This window comes from Homo sapiens, chromosome 14, assembly GCF_000001405.40.
Source record: "Homo sapiens chromosome 14, GRCh38.p14 Primary Assembly".
Lineage (NCBI taxonomy): Eukaryota > Metazoa > Chordata > Mammalia > Primates > Hominidae > Homo > Homo sapiens.
This window is the reverse complement of record NC_000014.9, coordinates 102,517,195-102,537,176: the sequence shown is the minus strand read 5'-3', so window position 1 is coordinate 102,537,176 and position 19,982 is coordinate 102,517,195. Positions and strand designations below refer to the sequence as shown.

General features: G+C 52.5%; 1 long non-coding RNA gene across 2 annotated transcripts, besides 3 other annotated features; it reads right to left on the bottom strand.

Annotated features, from left to right (window-relative positions):
• Positions 1-5,885: 5,885 nt before the first annotated feature.
• LOC105370680 (uncharacterized) lies at positions 5,886-19,710 on the bottom strand. 2 transcript variants are annotated; one of them, XR_944239.2, is made up of 4 exons: positions 19,467-19,710; positions 11,769-11,916; positions 6,149-6,321; positions 5,886-6,039 (listed from the first exon to the last, which is right to left on the bottom strand). It is a non-coding gene; the product is annotated as an uncharacterized LOC105370680 (long non-coding RNA). The 2 variants fall into 2 exon arrangements; XR_944238.3 differs by lacking the exon at positions 19,467-19,710 and having other exon boundaries at positions 11,769-12,357.
• Positions 7,938-8,439: an enhancer, noted in NCBI's record as "H3K27ac hESC enhancer chr14:102995075-102995576 (GRCh37/hg19 assembly coordinates)". NCBI's record gives its function as "activates a minimal SCP1, AML or CMV promoter by ChIP-STARR-seq in naive H9 embryonic stem cells {active_cell/tissue: H9 hESC(naive)}" and the evidence as "EXISTENCE:reporter gene assay evidence [ECO:0000049][PMID:30033119]".
• Positions 12,335-12,634: a silencer, noted in NCBI's record as "silent region_6121". NCBI's record gives its function as "represses an Ori minimal core promoter by ATAC-STARR-seq in GM12878 lymphoblastoid cells {active_cell/tissue: GM12878}" and the evidence as "EXISTENCE:reporter gene assay evidence [ECO:0000049][PMID:35858748]".
• Positions 19,482-19,601: an enhancer, noted in NCBI's record as "active region_9073". NCBI's record gives its function as "activates an Ori minimal core promoter by ATAC-STARR-seq in GM12878 lymphoblastoid cells {active_cell/tissue: GM12878}" and the evidence as "EXISTENCE:reporter gene assay evidence [ECO:0000049][PMID:35858748]".
• Positions 19,711-19,982: the final 272 nt, after the last annotated feature.

The following is a 19,982-nucleotide window of genomic DNA, read 5'->3' as shown; positions in this document are numbered from 1 at the left end:
CGATCAGGAAATCAAGAACATCCTGGCTAATACGGTGAAACCCAGTCTCTACTAAAAATACAGAAAATTAGCCAGGTGTGGTGGCAGGCGACTGTAGTCCTAGCTACTCGAGAGGCTGAGGCAGGAGAATGGCATGAACCCGGGAGGCGGAGCTTGCAGTGAGCTGAGATCGCACCACTGCACTCCAGCCTGGGTGACAGAGCGAGACTCCATCTCAAAAAAAAAAAAAAAAAAAAAAAAAAGAAATGGAGGGTCCTGGCCAGGCACCGTGGCTCACGCCTGTAATCCCAGCACTTTGGGAGGCCAAGGCGGGCAGATCACAAGGTCAGGAGTTCGAGACCAGCCTGGGCGACATGGTGAAACCCCTGTCTCTACTAAAAATACAAAAATTAGCCAGGCATGGTGGCGCAGGCCTGTAATCCCAGCTACTCAGGAGGCTGAGGCAGGAGAATCACTTGAACCTGGGAGGCAGAGGTTGCAGTGAGCCGAGATTGCGCCACTGCACTCCAGCCTGGGCAACAGAATCGAAACTCCATCTCAAAAAAAAAAGAAAGAAAGAAACAAGCCCCTGAACTCTGCTCCCTCTCCTGTCTCCAACTCACGAGGAGGAGCAGGCAGGCTCGTGGCTTATCTGCAAGGCTGTTGTAGTCGGGCGGGTCGGGGGACATAGGGTAATCCCTCCAGCGTCCTATCGATGTCCCTGGTCACCCTCCGCAGTGATTGCACGAAGAGCTTTCACTGAGCACTCCAGCTGTCCCGAGAGCTGTCAGGGGATCTCACCTGCTCAGGACTCCTCGTTTTGCAGTGGAGGAAAGTGAGGCACAGAGAAGTTATGTAATTTGTCTAGAAGTATGTAACACAGCTGGCATGCATAGGAGCCGGGATTCGAACCCAAGCCATCAGGCCCAGAACCCCTGCTCTTAACCATGAAAGTTATATGTCTTCTTGTGTAAAACAGCTGGAGCCCCCATCACGCGACAGGGAGAATGGCCATCTTTCTTCCCTGGGTCCTACAGGAAGTCCAGGCACCCCAGGGGCTTCCTCCATTCTGAAGAAAGACTAGGAAAACCTCTGTCCCAGGACACCCTTCTCTGCCGCCCACTGCCCGGCTGCTGGGGCTGCCTCACTGAGGTAGGTGTCAAGGGCACAGGAGGGGAGGGGTGCTCCCAGGGCCTGGCTGCCAGGGAATTTACATGCCCTAGAGTCACAATGCTTCATCTGGCTGGGAGCAGTGGCTCACGCCTGTAATCCCAGCACTTTGGGAGGCCGAGGCAGGTGGATCACGAGGTCAGGAGATCGAGACCATCCTGGCTAACAGGGTGAAACCCCGTCTCTACTAAAAATACAAAAAATTAGCCGGGCGTGATGGTGGGCGCCTGTAGTCCCAGCTACTTGGGAAGCTGAGGCAGGAGAAGGGCATGAACCCGGGAGGCAGAGCTTGCAGTGAACTGAGATCACGCCACTGCACTCCAGCCTGGGCAACAGGGCGAGACTCCATCGCAAAAAAAAAAAAAAAAAAAAAGAAAGAAAGAAAAAAGGAAAAAACAAGGCTTCATCTGCCCTTGCTGAAGTCTCCCCTTCCCCAGCACTCCCTCCACAGGCCTGGATCACAACCACATCCCCCTGCAGTTTCCCCAGTGCCTCTCCCCTCCCTGCCTGCCCCTCAGAGGGGTCAGGGCAGCAAGTAGCCTTGCAGGAAGGAACAGGGTGGCCTGGGGGCTCCTAGAGAGTCTCCCCCGAGCCACAGACTATCCACTCCAGCAAGGCATCCAGGCTCCCGTGTCACCAGAGGACAGATCGTTTTTTGTTTGTTTGTTTGAGACAGAGTCTTGTTCTGTCACCCAGGCTGGAGTGCAGTGGCGCAATCTCAGCTCACCGCAACCTCTGCCTCCTGGGTTCAAATGATTCTCCTGCCTCAGCCTCCCGAGTAGCTGGGATTACAGGCATGCGCCACCACGCCTGGCTAATTTTTGTATTTTTAGTAGACACGGGGGTTTCACCATGTCGCCCAGGCTGGTCTCGAACTCCTGACCTTGTGATCTGCCCGCCTCGGCTTCCCGAAGTGCTGGGATTACAGGCGTGAGACAAAACACCTGCCCCCCCCCTTTTTTTTTTCTCTGAGATACAGTCTCTGTTGCCCAGGATGGAGTGCAGTGGTGCCATCTCGGCTCACTGCAACCTCCACCTCCCGGTTCAAGTGATTCTCCTGCCTCAGCCTCAATAATAGCTGGGATTACAGGCACCTGCCACCATGCCCAGCTAATTTTTGTATTTTTAGTAGATATGGGGTTTCACCATGTTGGGCAGGCTGGTCTCGAACTCCCGACCTCAGGTGGGCCCACCTCAGCCTCACAAAGTGCTGGGATTACAGGCTAAGCCACCGCGTCTGGCCCAGTTTTTTTGTTTGTTTGCTTTTGTTTTTGAGACTGAGTCTCACTCTGTCGCCCAGGCTGGAGCGCAGTGGCGCGATCTTGGCTCACTGCGAGATCTGCCTCCTGGGTTCATGCCATTCTCTTGCCTCAGTCTCCCGAGTAGCTGGGACTACAGGTGTCCGCCACCACATCTGGCGAATTTTTTTTTTGTATTATTAGTAGAGACGGGGTTTCACTGTGTTAGCCAGGATGGTCTCGATCTGCTGACCTTGTGATCTACCCGTCTTGGCCTCCCAAAGTGCTGGGATTACAGGTGTGAGCCACCGCGCCCAGCCTGGCCCGGTTTTTGTAAATAAGTAAATATACATCTTTTTTTTTTTTTTTTTTGAGACAGAGTCTCGCTCTGTCACCCAGGCTGGAGTGCAGTGGCGCGATCTCAGCTCACCACAAGCTCTGCCTCCTGGGTTCACGCTATTCTCCTGCCTCAGCCTCCCGAGTAGCTGGGACTACAGGTGCCCGCCACCACGCCGGGCTGAGTTTTTGTATTTTTAGTAGAGACGGGGTTTCACCGTGTTAGCCAAGGTGGTCTCGATCTCCTGACCTCGTGATCCTCCCGCCGTGGCCTCCCAAAGTGCTGGGATTACAGGCCACCGTGCCCGGCAATTTACATATATTTTTTGCAGAGAGGGAGTATCGCCATGTTGCCCAGGCTGGTCTTGAACTCCTGTGCTGAAGGGATCCTCCCATCTCAGTCTCCCAAAGTGTTGAGTTGTGTGAACCAGAGCAACTCCATCTTGAGCAGGGGCTGAGTAAAATGAAGCTGAGACCTACTGGGCTGCAATCCCAGGAGGTTAAGACATTCTAAGTCACAGGATGAGATAGGAGGTCGGCACAAGATACAGGTCACAAAGACTTTGCTGATGAAACAGGCTGCAGTAAAGAAGCTGGCCAACACCCACCAAAACCAAGATGGCGATTAAGAGTGACCTCAGGGCGTCCTCACTGCTACACTCCCACCAGCACCATGAAAGTTTACAAATGCCATGGCAACGTCAGGAAGTTACCCTATATGGTCTAAAATGGGGAGGCATGAATAATACACCCTCTATTTAGCATGTAATCAAGAAATAACCATAAAAATGGGCAAGCTTGGCCAGGCATGGTGGCTTAGGCCTGTAATCCCAGCACTTTGGGAGGCCAAGGCAGGGAGATCATCTGAGGTCAGGAGTTCTAGACCAGACAGGCCAACATGGGGAAACCCCGTCTCTACTAAAAATACAAAAAGTTAGCCAGGCGTGGTGGCTCATGCCTGTAATCCCAACTGCTCTGGAGGCTGAGGCAGGAGAATCGCTTGAATACAGCAGGCAGAGGTTGCAGGGAGCCAAGATCATGCCACTGCACTCCAGCCTGGGAAACAGAGGGAGACTCCATCTTAGAAACAAACAAACAAAAGGGCAACTAGCTGCCTTCGGACCTGCTCTGCCTTAGCCATTCTTTTTTTTTTTGAGATGGAGTCTTGCTCTGTTGCCCAGTCTGGAGTGCAGTGGCACAGTCTGGGCTCACTGCAACCTCTGTCTCTTGGGTTCAAGAGATTCTCCTGCCTCAGCCTCCCGAGTAGCTGGGATTACAGGTGCCTGCCACCATGCCCGGCTAATTTTTTGTATTTTTAGCAGAGGCATGATTTCTCCATGTTGGCCAGGCTCGTCTTGAACTCCTGACCTTGTGATCTGCCTGCCTCAGCCTCCCAAATTGTTGGGATTATAGGCATGAGCCACCGCGCCCAGCCCAGAACAGGCAACATTTTTTTTTTTTTTTTTTTGAGACGGAGTCTCACTCTGTCGCCAGGGCTGGAGTGCAGTGGCGCGATCTTGGCTCACTGCAACCTCCGCCTCCTGGGTTCAAGCGATTCTCCTGCCTCAGCCTCCCAAGTTGCTGGGATTACATGTGCCTGTCATTATGCCCAGGTAATTTTTTTGTATTTTTAGTAGAGACGGGGTTTCACCGTGTTGGCCAGGCTGCTCTCGAACTCCTGACCTGGAGATTCACTCGCCTCGGCCTCCTAAAGTGCTGGGATTACAGGCGTTAGCCACCGTGCCTGGCCAGGCAACTTTTAAACCCAAGCAGCTTCTGTTCTTGTCTTTGACCACCCTGGGCTCCCTGCGCCAGAGTCTCAAAATGTCAAGGCAGGGAGTGTCCTTGGAGATGATCTTTCTACATCCTCATTTCAAAGACAGGCAGGAGCTCAGAGAGGTGAAGGGATTTGCCCAAGGACACACAGCTTCTCAGTGATTACATCAGCTATTGCTCACGGTCCTCCACTTCCACTCCCCACCTCCACCTCCCACAGAGATCCAAGGGATTAGAAGCTGATATTTTATCAGGGCATTTGCTGCCTGGAATTAAGACATTTCCCAGCCTCCCTTACACATAGGTGTGGCCATGTGACTAATTTTTGGCCTCAATGTAAGGAGTGTGTTTGACTTCATAAAGAGTTCTTAAAGGGAAAGGCACACTCTACTCCCTTCTCACTTCTGGGAATGCAGATAAAATGGCAGGAGTTTCAGCAACCATTTTGAACACGAAGTGATCTCAGAAATGAAAACTATTCATGTGGCCCAGTGCAGTGGCTCATGCCTGTAATCCCAGCACTTTGGGAGGCTGAGGCGGGTGGATCACCTGAGGTCAGGAGTTCAAGACCAGCCTGGCCAACATGGCAAAACCCCGTCTCTACTAAAAATACAAAAATTAGCCAGGCATGGTGGTGGGCGCCTATAATCCCAGCTACTTGGGAGGCTGAGGCAGGAGAAACCTTTGAACCTGGGAGACGGAGGTTGCAGTGAAGCCTCGGCGACAGAGTGAGACTCCGTCTTAAAAAAGAAAACTAGGCCGGGCGCGGTGGCTCACGCCTGTAATCCCAGCACTTTGGGAGGCCGAGGCGGGTGGATCATGAGGTCAGGAGATGGAGACCATCCTGGCTAACATGGTGAAATCCAGTCTCTACTAAAAATACAAAAAAATTAGCCAGGCGTAGTGGCAGGCGCCTGTAGTCCCAGCTACTCGGGAGGCTGAGGCAGGACAATGGCGTGAACCGGGGAGGCGGAGCTTGCAGTGGGCCAACATAGAGCCACTGCCCTCCAGCCTTGGCAACAGAGCGAGACTCTGTCTCAAAAAAAAAAAAGAAATGGAGGGTCCAGGCCGGGCGCGGTGGTTCACACCTGTAATCCCAACACTTTGGGAGGCTGAGGCGGGCGGATCACAAGGTCAGGCGTTCGAGACCAGCCTGGGAAACCGAGGGAGACCTCCATCTCTACAAAAAGCACGAAAATTAGCCGGGCATGGCGGTGTGGGCCTGTAGTCCCAGCTACTTGAGAGGCTGAGGTGGGAGGATCACCTGAGCCCAGGAGAGGCTGCAGTGAGTTGTGATCGTGCCACTGTTAGCGTTGGAGGGTTTCCAGGATCTTGGTGTCTTGAACAAAGAATTGGACAAAACGTATAAACAAATCAAGGAAAGAATGAAGAAACAAAAGCAGAGTTTTATTGAAAACAAAAGTACAGTCGACTGCACAGAGTGGGAGCGGCCGGAGCACGTTGGCTCAAGAGCCCGTCACAGAATTTTCTGGAGTTTAAATACTCTCTAGAGGTTTCCATTGGTTATTTGGTGTGCACCCTATGTAAATGAAGAGGCTTAAAGTGAGTTACTGAAGTGAAGTTACAAAGCTATTTACTGGGTGTACACCCTATGTAAATGAAGAGGATGAAGTTACAAAGTCACTTACTTGGTGAACGCCCTATGCAAATGAAGAGGATATTTCCTGTCGTAGCTGAAATGCCTCCTCTCTCCTCTCCATCTGATTTAGTTCTGGGAAGTCCTCAGGTTCCCTTCCTCTAGGACTTATTCTCCCGTCTCACCACTGCACTCAAGCCTGGGCCCCAGAGCCAGACTCTGTGTCTAAAAAAAAGAAAAAAAGAGGCCAGGCACAGTGGCTCACACCTGTAATCCCAGTACTTTGGGAGGCTGAGGCAGGTGGATCACCTGAGGTCAGGAGTTGGAGACCAGCCTGGCCAACATGGTGAAACCCCGTCTCTACTAAAAGTACAAAAAATCAGCCAGGCGTGGTGGCGTGAGCCTATAGTCCCAGCTACTCTGGAGGCTGAGGCAGGAAAATCACTTGAACCCAGGAGGCGGAGGTTGCAGTGAGCCAAGATTGCGCCATTGCACTCCAGCCTGGGCTACAGGGCAAAACTCCATCTCAAAAAACAACAGCAAACAAAAAGAAAAAAAATAAAACCAGGTACGGCAGAGCCACAGGATGAAAGGAATAAAGGCAGCCCAGGTTCCTGACACTGTGACACTCCTTGCCATATAAGCCCTGGGCCCCTCTAAACAGATTTTGTTTTTGTTTTTGTTTTTGAGACAGCATTTTGCTCTGTTGCCCAGGCTGGAGTGCAGTGGCACAATTCAGCTCACTGCAACCTCCACCTCCCGGGTTCAAGTGATTCTCCTGCCTCAGCCTCCCAAGTAGCTGGGATTACAGGCGCCTGCCACCACGCCCAGCTAATTTTTTTGTATTTTTAGTAGAGACGGGGTTTCACCATGTTGGCCAGGCTGGTCTCGAACTCCTGACCTCAAGCGATTCACTCCCCTTGGCCTCCCAAAGTACTGAGATTACAGGTGTGAGCCACCGCGCCCGGCCGACATCTTCACAATGAGAGAAAAATAAGCTTCCATTGAGTCTGAGCTGTCCTTTTCTGGGGTTTTCTACTGGGTCCGCTTGACTCTGAGTCTAACACTTTTCTTGCTCTTCCAGAGTTTCTTCTCTGAGGAGGTACAGTGAGGAACAGAGAGGTCTTGGTTCAGAGTAGGCCCTGGGGTTTATGATTTGACATTTTATGTAGGGTGCAGGGACCCCAAATGATTTCTATCTTCATTATTCTATTTATTTATTTTTTGGGATCAGTTTCGCTCTGTCACCCAGACTGGAGTGTAGTGGCGCCATCTTGACTCACTGCAATCTCCGCCTCCCGGGTTCAAGCGATTCTCCTGCCTCAGCCTCCTGAGTAGCTGGGACTATAGGGGCGTGCAATCACGCCCGACTAATTTTCGTATTTTTAGTAGAGATGAGGTTTCACCATGTTGGTCAGGCTGGTCTCGAACTCTTGACCTTGTGATCTGCCTGCCTTGGCCTCCCAAGGTGCTGGGATTACAGGTGTGAGCCACAGCGCCCGGCTATTTTTTAATTTTATTTTATTTTTGAGATGGAGTTTCGCTTTTCTTGCCCAGGCTAGAGTGCAGTGGCACGATCTTGGCTCACCACAGCCTCTGCCTCCCAGCTTCAAGTGATTCTCCTGCTTCAGCTTCCTGAGTAGCTGGAATTACAGGCATATGCCACCACGCCTGGCTAATTTTGTATTTTTAGTAGAGACCGGGTTTCTCCATGTTGGTCAGGCTGGTCTCGAACTCCTGACTTCAGGTGATCCGACCACCTAGGCCTCCCAAAGTGCTGGGATTACAGGCATGATCCACTGCACCCAGGCTTTATTTTTAATTTATTATATTTTTTTCAGACAGGGTGTTGCTCCGTTGTCCAGGCTGGAGTGCAGTGGCGTGCTCACAGCTCACTGCAGACTTCACCTACAGAACTCAAATGATCCTCCCACCTCAGCCTCCAGAGTAGCTGGGACTCTGCCATTGCACCTGGCCCAGAAATGATTTTTAGTAGTTAACTCCTTTTTCTTTCTTTTTTTAATTTTTGTTTTTTTGAGACAGTGTCTCACTCTCTCACCCAGGTTGTAGTCCAATGGTGTGATTGCCATTCACTGCAGCCTCAACCTCGTGGGCTCAAGTGATCCTCCCACCTCAGCCTCCCGAGTAGCTGAGACTACAGGTGCACGCCACAACCCCCAGCTAATTTTTTTTTTTTTTTTTTTTTTTTTTTTTTTTTTGTAGAGAAGGTTTCACCATGCTGCCCTGACTGGTCTTGAACTCCTGGGTTCAAGCGATCCTCCTGCCTTGACCTCTCAAAGTGGTAGGATTACAGGCTTGAGCCACTGCGCCCGCCTGCTAAACCCCTTTTCACAGGAAATTTTACTCAGAAGCTCAACAACAACAATAACAAAATCACTTCCTGAACTGAGAATGTCCAGTTGAAGTGAGTGGGGTGGGAGCCCTACCCACGTGGCCTCCCCTCCTAGGTCCCCAGTTCCCTAAGACACTCCCAGTTCCCTAAGCCTCTGGCACAGCTACGTATTTATTTATTTATTTATTATTTATTTATTTATGAGACAGAGTCTCGCTCTGTCTCCCAGACTGGAGTACAGTGGCACGATTTCAGCTCACTGCATCCTCTACCTCCCAGGTTCAAGCGATTCTCCTGCCTGAGCCTCTGAAGCAGCTGGGATTACAGGTGTGCACCACCACGCTCAGCTACTTTTTTGTATTTTTAGTACTTTTTGTATTTAGTATTTTTTTTATTTAGTAATTTAGTATATGTTGTATTTTTAGTGGTTTCACCATGTTGGCCAGGTTGGTCTCAAACTCCTGACCTCAGGTGATCTGCCCACCTCTGCCTCCCAAAGTGCTGGGATTACAGGCGTGAGCCACTGTGCCCGGCCAGGGCTACATTCTCGAAAGCACCTTCCTGCCCCCTGCCTTACCCCAGGATGGCAGGACCCAGTCTCTGGGTGTCAGAGAGAGTGACGGGAAGGCTACAGTGACTCAGCCTGGGAGCCACCAACAGCCATCACCCCTGGGCCTGAGGTCGGGCAGGGCTGCTTGTCACCCTCGGGAGTCTTTGGCTCCGGGGACTCAGGGCATAGCAGCACCTTCCCCAAGCCCTCCCCATCCCACAGGGCAGGCGTGGGAAGCAGCAGGTCCCACCTTTCCCCAGGATACTGCCTGGCAATGCCTGGGTAGCTGGAGTCTGGGTCAAACCCAGGGGAGCAGGAAGGCCCAGAGCCTCAGTCCCACTGCCAGGCCCCTCAGGCTCCTCCTTCATCAACAAAGCAAATGAAGGCAACAAACTCAGAGTGCACCTCTCCACCCTTCCCTCTGCTCCATGAGTGGCCACGCCACGCCCAGCCCTGCCCTGCCCTGCCCTGCCCCATGTCTTCCTCCCCACCGCTCTGTGACTCAGAGTTAAGAGATGAGACACTCTGAAATCACTCTAGGGTGAGGGGCTGGCATTTGTGTTGCCAACCTGATGTTCCCAGGAGGCACCCACAAACTACACCCTTGGTGGCTGAGGGTGCATCCTTCTGTTCAGCGAGTCATCAGGAAGCATGTCACAGTGGAGTGGTGCTTTCTCCATTGGTGGCAGGTGGAACACAAGCTTCTCGAAGTTTTCCACCATTGTTTCCCTAGTTGTGCAGGCCAATTGACCAGGATAATGGAGGCCTGCTGCTATCACAGAAGAACCTTGCTTTATCAAAAATCCACGTGAGGCTGGGTGTGGTGGCTCACGCCTGTAATCCTAGCACTTTGGGAGGCCAAAACAGGGAGATCACTTGAGGTCGGGAGTTCAAGACAAGCCTGGCCAACATGGTGAAACCCCGTCTCTACTAAAAATACAAAATTAGCTGGGTCTGGTGGTGCAGGCCTGTAATCCCAGCTACTTGGGAGGCTGAGGCAGGAGAATCGCTTGAACTCGGGAGGCAGAGGTTGTAGTGAGCTGAGATCACGCCACTGCACTCCAGCCTGAGCAACAAGAGCGAAACTCCGTCTCAAAAAAAAAAAAAAGAAAAAAAAAAGAGCAAAACTCTGTCTCAACAAAACAAAACAAAACAAAAAAACAAAACAAAACAAAAAACCCAAACCAAAAAACTCCATGCGAGTGTTACGCGGTACCCCTGCAACATGGGAATCCTTGTGTGATGCAAAAGTTAGGTTTTATGCATTTGCTCAATTTTGCACCTCCCACTCCAAATGGCCACGGAAGGCTGGTGCGCCGGAAGGTGTTCTGTGTCTGTCCGGTGGCTTCTCCTCAACCTAGCCTGCACTCGCCAGGCTCTCATTCTTGTAGTTCAGAAGCAAAGTTTTAGAGAGAGTATGGATTTTGCCATTGGAATTGCTGGCTTCCGGTTGTGGCTGTGTGACCTTGGGCATGTCACTCGACCTCTCTAAGCCTCCATTTCCTCTCTGCTTTTAGTCCCCACTAAGGCCAACGTGTGTATGGAAGTGGGGGTGGGGCTGGGGGTTGGGATGGCATTTTCTTCCTTGGCAGACAGGGCCCTTGAGAGCCTTAAAGAGGGGCCGGGCGCGTTGGCTCATGCCTGTAATCCCAGCACTTTGGGAAGCCAAGGCGGGCAGATCACCTGAGGTCAGGAGTTCAAGACCAGCCTGACCAACATGGTGAATCCCAGTATCTACCAAAAATACTAAAATTAGCTGGGCATGGTGGTGCATGCCTATAGTCCCAGCTACTCAAGAGGCTGAGGCAGAGGCAGGAGAATCGCTTGAACCCGGGAGGCAGAGGTTGCAGTGAGCTGAGATGGCGCTACTACACTCCAGGCTGGGTGACAGAGTGAGTCATGGTCTCAAAAAAAAAAAAAAAAAGAACCTTAAAGAGGACTGCTATGAGTTCTCCTTGCAGACGAGGAAAGTACCCCAGTTTGACCCCTCAGTCTCCGGCTCTGGCTGGGTAGGGCCATCCTGGCTTGGTACTTTTGCCCTAGCTCAGGCCACGGTGAGCCCCCCGGTGAGCAAATGCTCTTGGTCATGCCATGCAGAGGCTGGGCTGGGCGCTCTGTGGATCCCCACGCAGGATGGGTTCTGGGGTGCACAGAAGAACCTTTTTCAAACATGGTGGTAAAACGCACATCACATAACACTTACCGTTTAAACCATGCTTAAGTGTACAGTTCACGTCTTTGCCATGGTCAGGGGAAAGAAGGAGGAAGGGAGGAATGGAAAGAAAGAAAAGAAAAATAAAGAAAGAGAAAGAAAGGAAGGAAGGAAAGGGAGGGAACAAACGAATGAAAGAGAAAGAAAAAGAAAGAGAAAGAAAGGAAGAAAGAAAGAAAAAGAAAGAAAGGAAGGAAAGAGAAAGAGAAAAAGGAGGGAAAGAGGGAAAGAGAAAAAGAGGAAGGAAGGAAGGAAAAGAAAGAAGGAAGGAAAGAAGAAAGGAGGCAGGGAGGGAGGAAGGAAGGAAGGAAGGAAGGAAGGAAGGAAGGAAGGAAGGAAGGAAGGAAAAAAAAAGCGTACAGTTCAATCTAAGCCGAAACTCCATACCCATTAAACAATACCTCCCCATTCACGGCTCCTCCCAGCCCCTGGCAACCACTATTCTACTTCCTGTCTCTCTGAATTTGACTACTCTGGACACAGAATGTAAGTGGAATCCTACAGTATTTGTCTTTTTGTGACTAGCTTATTGCACTCCGCATAATGTCAGGGTTCACCTTTCATCCATGTTGCAGCATATGCAGAATTTCCTTCTTTCTGCGGTTAAAGAGCTCTCCACTGTCCGTATAGACTGTTTGCTCACCCCTTCACCCGTCCGTGGACCCGTGGGCTGCTCCCACCTTTTGGCTGTTGGGAACGCTGCTACTGTGAAAGTGGGTGTGCAAATGGAAGAACATTATTTTGATGGTGTTGAATTTGGTTTAACCCATATTAGAGCAAACATAAGGAGCACAGCAAACATCACAGATATGAGATGAATGCTTAGGGTGCGGCTGCAGTGACGAAGTGATTTCAGGTCAATCACGAAAGGGTGACAGCGGACAGGATGAGAGTCGCCAGGAGCCAGCGAGAATGACTTCGGTTTGAGAAAGTCTAAGCTGGGTCAAGCCAAGGAGGAGCCCAGGCCACTCGCCCCGCGTCTCCCTCGCCGGGATCCCCTCCTCGGACCTCCCCCTCCTGTCTCCGGGCTAGCCCTTCTGCCTGCGGCTACCACACTCCCCTGGGGCAGCTTTGGCCCCGGGTTCCAGGAAAGCATCTGATTGGCCGTGTTCTCACTAGGCCAGCCCTGATAGATCACTGGCCAGCCTATGGATAGGCTCCCCTCAGTCAGATGCCCATGCCTGGTCCAATCAGCGGTGGGAAGCCGGGAGGGTCGGGGAAGTAGCTGTGGCTGGCGGGGCTCCCAACTCCTGCAGGGACTCCTGGCGGGTCCAAGGTGAAGCCCGGCCAGTCTCAGGCTTCACAGCGCCCCCTGGTGGTCCGGGGCGGAGGCGGGGAGGAGCCCAGGCAGCCGCAGGGCGAGGCTCAGGGCAGGCGTGGAGGCTCAGATCCGTAATCTCAGCACTTTGGAAGCCAAGGGGGGAGGATCGCTTGAGATTGGGAGTTTGAGGCTAGCCTGGGCAACATAGTGAGACCCCCTATCTCTACTAAAAATTAAATTTAAAAAAAGGGGGTCAAGGTCTGAGCATGGCTGACTCCACTCTGGACTCCATACCTGAGGGTAACCAAGGGAAGGGTGTTGGGGAGCGGTCCTGCCTGGGGCTGACCCCCCAGAACCTGCCCAGCTCCCCTTCTATCTGGGGCTGGGGGAGTTGGTTAGTGCGGGGTGGGGTGCGGGGACCCAGAACCCCCCAAAGCTGCTCTTCTCTCCCGGGCAGCCTCTGCCTTCTCCCAGCCCCCCTTTCATCACTCAGGGAGCCCTGAAAGTGAGGACCTCAGGTACTGTGCGTTTCCTAACCTCGCCTCAATCCTGGGTGTCCTGTTTGGACTCTGGGGCCCTCTGCGCGGCTCTCAGCGAATCTCTCAGCACAGGGGTGCATGGGTACCCCGCCCTTTGGTTCCAGGCTCAAGTCAGTGGCACCGTGTCCCCTCCAGGCCAGAGAGAGGGGTCTGCTCCCAGCGGTTCGTGGGCGGCTGGGGCTGGCGCACACCCTCTCTGCCTTTCCCTCCCGAAGCGCCGCCGTGGGCCAGGCCCCACCCGAACGGGGAGCGTCCCTAATTGCCCTGCACTAATTGCAGCTTCACCTGCGCGGCTGGGCTGGCCTCCCCTGAGCCTGGAGCTTGTTATTGGAAATAAGCCGATTTCTCCAGTTTGGGAGAATTCAGACTTGGGGGTTGAACTACTTGTGATTTGGGGCATTTATCATTGAAAATAGGCCTCGTTCCCTCACGGAGAGTTTTCTGTAAACAACTCGGCGCCACACATCCAGGCTCGCGTATCCGGGGCCCTGGGACCACACACAGGCCCCAAGGGTTTGGGGGCTGAAACCGGGAAGGTTCAGGGCTGCCTCCAGCATTGACCGGGTCTCAGCTGAGCCACAGCCCATCTGAAGGCTTAACGCAAGCTCTGGCTCTTTTTTTCTCTTTCTTTCTTCCTTCCTTCCTTCCTTCCTTCCTTCCTTCCTTCCTTCCTCCCTCCCTCCCTCCCGTCTCTTTTTTTCTTTCTCCTTTCCTTCCTTCCTTCCTTCCAGCCACAGCCCATCTGAAGGCTTAGCCCAAGCTCTGGCTCTTTTTTTCTTTCTCCCTCCTTCCTTCCTTCCTGCCACAGCCCATCTGAAGGCTTAGCTCAAGCTCTGGCTCTTTTTTTCTTTCTCTCTTCCTTCCTCCTTCTCCCTTCCCCTCCTCTTTCCTTTCTTTTTGACAGAGTTTCACTCTTTCACCCAGGCTGGAGTGAAGTGGCTCACTGCAACCTCTGCGAACCCTTCCTTCCTTTCTTTTCTTTTCTTTTTCTTTTTTTTTGACAGAGTTTCACTCTTTCACCTATGCTGGAGGGAAGTGGCTCACTGCCTCCTGGGCTCAGGCAATTCTGCCTCAGCCTCTCGAGTAGTTGGGATTACAGGCACCCACCACCACACCCAGCTAATTTTTTGGTACTTTTTAGTAGAGACGGGGTTTCACCATGTTGTCCAGGCTGGTCTCAAACTCCTGACCTCACGTGATCCACCAGCTTCAGCCTCCCAAAGTGCTAGGATTACAGGCGTGAATCACAACGCCTGGCCCTTTTTTTCTGTTTTTGAGATAGAGTCTCCCTCTGTCACCCAGGCTGGAGTGCAGTGGTGTGATCACAGCTCACTGAAGCCTCAAACTCCTGGGCTCAAGCGGTCCTCCCACCTCAGCCTTCCGAGTAGCTGGGACCACAGGCACGTGCCACTATGCCTGGCTAATTTTTAAAATTTTTGTAGAGAAGAGGTTTTGCCATGTTTCTCAGGCTGGCCTGGAACTCTTGGGCTCAAGTGATCCTCCTGTCTTAACCTCCCAAAGTGCTGGGATTCCAGGTGTGAGCCACCCACACCTGGCCTTCTCTAAGAGTTTTATTGATGTAGGCCATGAGTGGTGGCTCACACCTGTAATCCCAGCACTTTGGGAGGCTGAGGCAGGTGGGTCACTTGAGACAAGCCTGGGCAGATGGCGAGAATAATTATTGCTGAATAATTTCCATTGTATGGAAATCCCACACTTTATACATCTATTCACCAGTTAATGGATATGCCTTTCCATTTTGAGGGTATTATGAATAATGCTGCTATGGATGTTGACTAAAGAAATAAAATGCAGCTGGGCATGGTGGCTCACACCTGTAATCCCAGAACGTTGGGAGGCCGAGGTGGGCGAATCACGAGGTCAGGAGTTTGAGTCCAGCCTGGCCAATATGGTGAAACCCCGTCTCCACTTAAAAAAAAAAAAAAGGGCTGGGCGCAGTGGCTCACGCCTGTAATCCCAGCACTTTGGGAGGCCAAGATGGGCAGATCATGAGGTCAGGAGATCAAGACCATCCTGGCTAACACGGTGAAACCCTGTCTCTACTAAAAATACAAAAAATTACCCGGGCATGGTGGTGGACACCTGAGGCTGAGGCAGGAGAATGGCGTGAACCTGGGAGGTGGAGCTTGCAGTGAACCGAGATCACGCCACTGCACTCCAACCTGGGTGACAGAGGGAGACTCCATCTCAAAAAATAAAAACAAAAATAAACAAAAAAGCCAGGCGTGGTGGCGCACACCTGTAGTACCAGCTACTTGGGAGGCTGAGGCAGAAGAATGGCTTGAACCTGGGAGGTGGAGGTTGCGGTGAGCCAAGATCACACCACTGCACTCCAGCCTGGGTGACAGAGCGAGACTCCGTCTCAAAAAAAAAAAAAGAAAAAAAAAAAAAAGGCTGAGTGCAGTGGCTCATGCCTGTAATCCATCCCAGCACTTTGGGAGGCTGAGGCAGGTGGATCACCTGAGGTCAGGGGTTCGAGATCAGCCTGGCCAACATGGTGAAATCCCGTCTTTACTAAAAATAGAAAAATTAGCTGGATGCAGTGGTGAACGCCTGTAATCCCAGCTACTCAGGAGGCTGAGGCTGGAGAATAGCTTAAACCTGGCAGGCAGAGGTTGCAGTGAGCCGAGATCGCACCACTGCACTCCAGACCAGGCAACAGAGTGAGACTCCATCTCAAAAAAAAAAAAAAAAAAAAGAAAGAAAGAAAGAAAGAAAGCTTTTAAAGATATGAGTTTGGGCCGGGCGTGGTGGCTCACGCCTGTAATCCCAGCACTTTGGGAGGCCGAGGCAGGCGGATCACGAAGTCAGGAGATCGAGACCATCCTGGCTAACATGGTGAAACCCCGTCTCTACTAAAAATACAAAAATTAGCCGGGTGTGGTGGCAGGTACCTGTAGTCCCAGCTACTCAGGAGGCTGAGGCAGGAGAATGGCATGAACCCGGGAGGTGGAGATTGCAGTGAGCCAAGATAGCGCCACTGCACTCCAGCCTGGGCAACAGAGCAAGATTCCGTCTCAAAAAAAAAAAAAAAAAAAAGATATGAGTTTGATGGCTGGGCACCTTGGCTCACGCCTGTAATCCCAGCACTTTGGAAGGCCGAGGTGGGCGGATCACCTGAGGTCGGGAGTTCAAGACCAGCCTGACCAACATGGAGAAACCCCATCTCTACTAAAAATACAAAAATCAGCCGGGTGTGGTTTCGCATGCCTGTAATCACAACTACTCAAGAGGCTGAGGCGGGAGAATCGCTTGAACCCAGGAGGCAGAGGTTGTGGTGAGTCGAGATTGTGCCATTGTACTCCAGCCTGGGCAACAAGAGTGAAACTCCGTCTCAAAAAACAAAAAAGAGTGAGTTTGATTCAGAAGCCTCCTGAGGACATTACCCAGAGGCTGATAGCCCAGAACATTTCCTTGGTGAGGTTTTCTTAGATTGCTCCAAAATAGTTTCAGCTCACAGTTATACATGAATTGTGGGAGTTCAATACGTGCAAAATCACATCAGACTTGCTCAGAAGTTACACTGAGGCAGAGTTACATCAAGGTTTGGGTAAGAATACATCTGGTTATAGATCACAGAAGCATCATCACTAACCAGATGTTTTTTTGTTTTTTTTTTTGAGACAGAGTCTCGCTCTGTCGCCCAGGCTGGAGTGCAGTGGCGCGATCTCGGCTCACTGCAAGCTCCGCCTCCCAGGTTCACGCCATTCTCCTGCCTCAGCCTCTCGAGTAGCTGGGACTACAGGCGCCCGCCACCACGCCCGGCTACTTTTTTTGTATTTTTAGTAGAGACGGGGTTTCACCATGTTAGCCAGGATGGTCTGGATCTCCTGGCCTCGTGATCCGCCTGCCTCGGCCTCCCAAAGTGCTGGGATTACAGGCGTGAGCCACCACGCCCGGCCCTAACCAGATGTAATGAGGAGGGAAAGGCAAGGCTAGGGTCATGGATCTTTTAGAGAATGTAGCAACTCAAGCCAGAGGCGTGGGGAGGGGGACTGTGTGCTCTGTCGCGTTTTGTCTTCAAAGCAACTTTCTGGAGAGCTGCAGGTGGTCACAGAGGTAGGGCTTTGTGAAACTGTGCTGCAAACAGAAAGGAGCATGCTTGGCTTCCTAGGTGTGCTACTTTATCTCACAGAACGTTCACATACAGATCTTTGTGTTAGAGATGTTTTCAGGCCAGGCATGGTGGCTCACGCTTGTAATCCCAGCATTTTGGGAGGCTGAGGCGGGAGGATTGCTTGAACCCAGTTCGACTCAGCCTGGGCAACATAGTGAGACCCTGTTTCCACAAAAATAAAAATAAAAAAATCAGCCAGGTGTTGTGTCGCTCCCTGTAGTCCCAGCTACTTGAGAGGCTGAGGTGGAAGGATCACTTGAGCCTGGGAGGTTGAGGCTGCAGTGAGCTGTGATCATGCCACTGCACTCTAGCCTGGGTGACAGAGTGAGATCCTATCTCTAAGAAAATAAAAGAAAAAAAAAGAATATTGTTTTCATTTCTTGGGCAGGTACCTAGGAGTGGAACTGCTGGTTCCTATGATGAGTTTAGGAAATGGCCAAGCTTTTCCAAGTTGTTGCATCATTTTGCATTCCCACTGGGGGATTGTATGAGAGTTCCAGTTGCTCCATGTTCTTGTCAACAGTCGGTATGTTGGGATTTTTTTCTTTTCTTTTTTTTGTGAGACAGGGTCTTGCTCTGTCACCCAGGCTGGAGTGCAGTGGCATGATCACGGCTCACTGCAACCTTGACCTCCCAGGCTCAGGTGATCCATCCACCTCAGCCTTCTGAGTATCTGGGACCACAGGCAGGCACCATCATGCCCGGCTAATTTATTTTATTTTATTTTATTTTTGAGATGGAGTTTCACTCTGTCACTCAGGCTGGAGTGCAATGGCACCATCTCGGCTCACTGCAACCTCTGCCTCCCGGGTTCAAGCAATTCTCCTGCCCCAGCCTCCCGAGTAGCTGGGATTACAGGCACCTGCTATCAAGCCCAGCTAATTTTTTTTTTTTGTATTTTTTGCAGAGATGGGGTTTCACCACGTTGGCCAGGCTGGTCTCAAACTCCTAACCTCAGGCAATCTGCCTGTCTTGGGCTTCCAAGGTGCTGGGATTACAGGCATGAGCCACCGCGCCTGGCCACGCCCGGCTAACTTTTTTATTTTTATTTTTTGTAGAGATGAGGTCTCACTATATTTCCCAGGCTGGTCTCAAACTCCTGAACTCAGGTGATCCGCCTTGAGTTCAGGAGTTTGAGCCTTGAGCGTTTGTATCTTGATTTAGTGGTTGGTGCTCCTCCAACCTCCCCAGGCCCTGAGGATTTGGAGCTTCAGGGAGAAGGAAGAGAGTTCCCAGCCCCTCCTTAGCCAGTCCCATCCTCCTCCAGGAGCCTTCCCTGCTTGTTCTGGCCCTGGAAGGTCTGCTGTCTACGATCTGTCCCCACTGCTTCCCCATCATTGTGCTAAGCTGTGATGCCCATAATAATAAACCAGGCTTCCTGAGATTCATGCCTTTGTGAGTCTCATTCCACGTGAACTCTGGGCTTGTCTTGGAGAATGAGGTATTAGAAAGCATGATGGAAGCAGAGGTTTAATGAGCTCTTGCACACTGGGGCTTGTCCTGCCATGCTGTGAGGAAGACCAAGTTAGCCACGTGGAGAAGCCAAGCAAAGGAGCACCGAAGCAGGGTGGCAGCCCATGCTGGAGGCAGCCGAGCTCCCACTGGCAACCAGCACCAACTGTAGCCATGTGGATGAACCACTTGGACATTTCACTCCAGTTGGGCCTCCAGATCCCTACAGCTGTAGAGTGATCCCAGCGGGCGCCACAGGAAGCAAAAGAGCCATCCAGTCAATCCAGAGAACCGCAAACAATCCTACATCATTGCTGTTTAAAGCCACCCTGGCAGGGTTGTTTGTTGCACAGCAGAAGAGAACTGATACACTGTGGAGATCTCCTTGTCTCTCAGGGGTCACCGGCATAACCTGCAGCTCCTCCACCCTCCACCTTTCCCCTTCCTGTCCATCACTTTTGAAGGGTGGGCAGTTTACCTAATCACTGCCCTCCTGGGGCCAGGAAGCCCCTTCCAGTTCAGCCCTCTGCTCCCTTCACAATGGGCACTGAGGAAAGCATCTCCTGGCAGGGCCTCCGCACCCCTCCAGGCCCTCAGATCCCTGCTGGACATACGGACATAGGGTGGCATAGTGAGGGCTGGCTCCTGGGAATCCTGATGCCGCCACCTGGACAGCACTGGACCCTCAGTGGGCTCTGCTGACAGTGTCCTGGGGGTTCCTGGATGGGGACAGATGACAGGCCGAGGGGGTGGCGCAGCAGGGATAGGAGCTGCAATGGAAGGCTAGGCCGAGTCTCTCCCCACACTGCCCGCACGCTCTCCCCTGCATCCAGCTCCTGAGGCGCTCTGGCCTCAGCATCTGCACCTGTAAAGTGGGCCTGGAGTATGCGGAAGTCCCAGCCAGGCAGACACACAGGAGCCTGGTAGACGTGCGGCTGGGGAAGGCAAGGGAAGTGGCAGTTGGGACGCGCGAGCAGGCCGGGCTGCGTGGACGGCCACCAGGTGGAGGGTACAGGAGCGCTGGGGTCCGCTCTCCTAGGGAGATGGGGCTCGGACCGGGGACCCTGTCACCCGCAGTCCGCGGGCCGCGGGCGGGCAGAAGCAGAGCCTGGGACCTTGAGGGCGTCTCCCGACTGGGCGGGGGTCGGCGCTCGTCCCCGCTGGGAAGGCCGGGAAGCGGAGGCGCGCACAGCCCCCTCCCTGCGCCCAGCGCGGTCCGCGGACTCCGGCTGGGGGAGGGGAACCCGGAAGGGGCCCGCCGGACCACCTGCCTCGCCCGCCCCGCCGGGACCTCCGATCGGCCCAGCCGGGGGCAGGCGCAGTGGCGGCGGCGCGGATGGCGGGACTGTGGCCATTTCACCCGGGGGGAGGTGGAGACCCT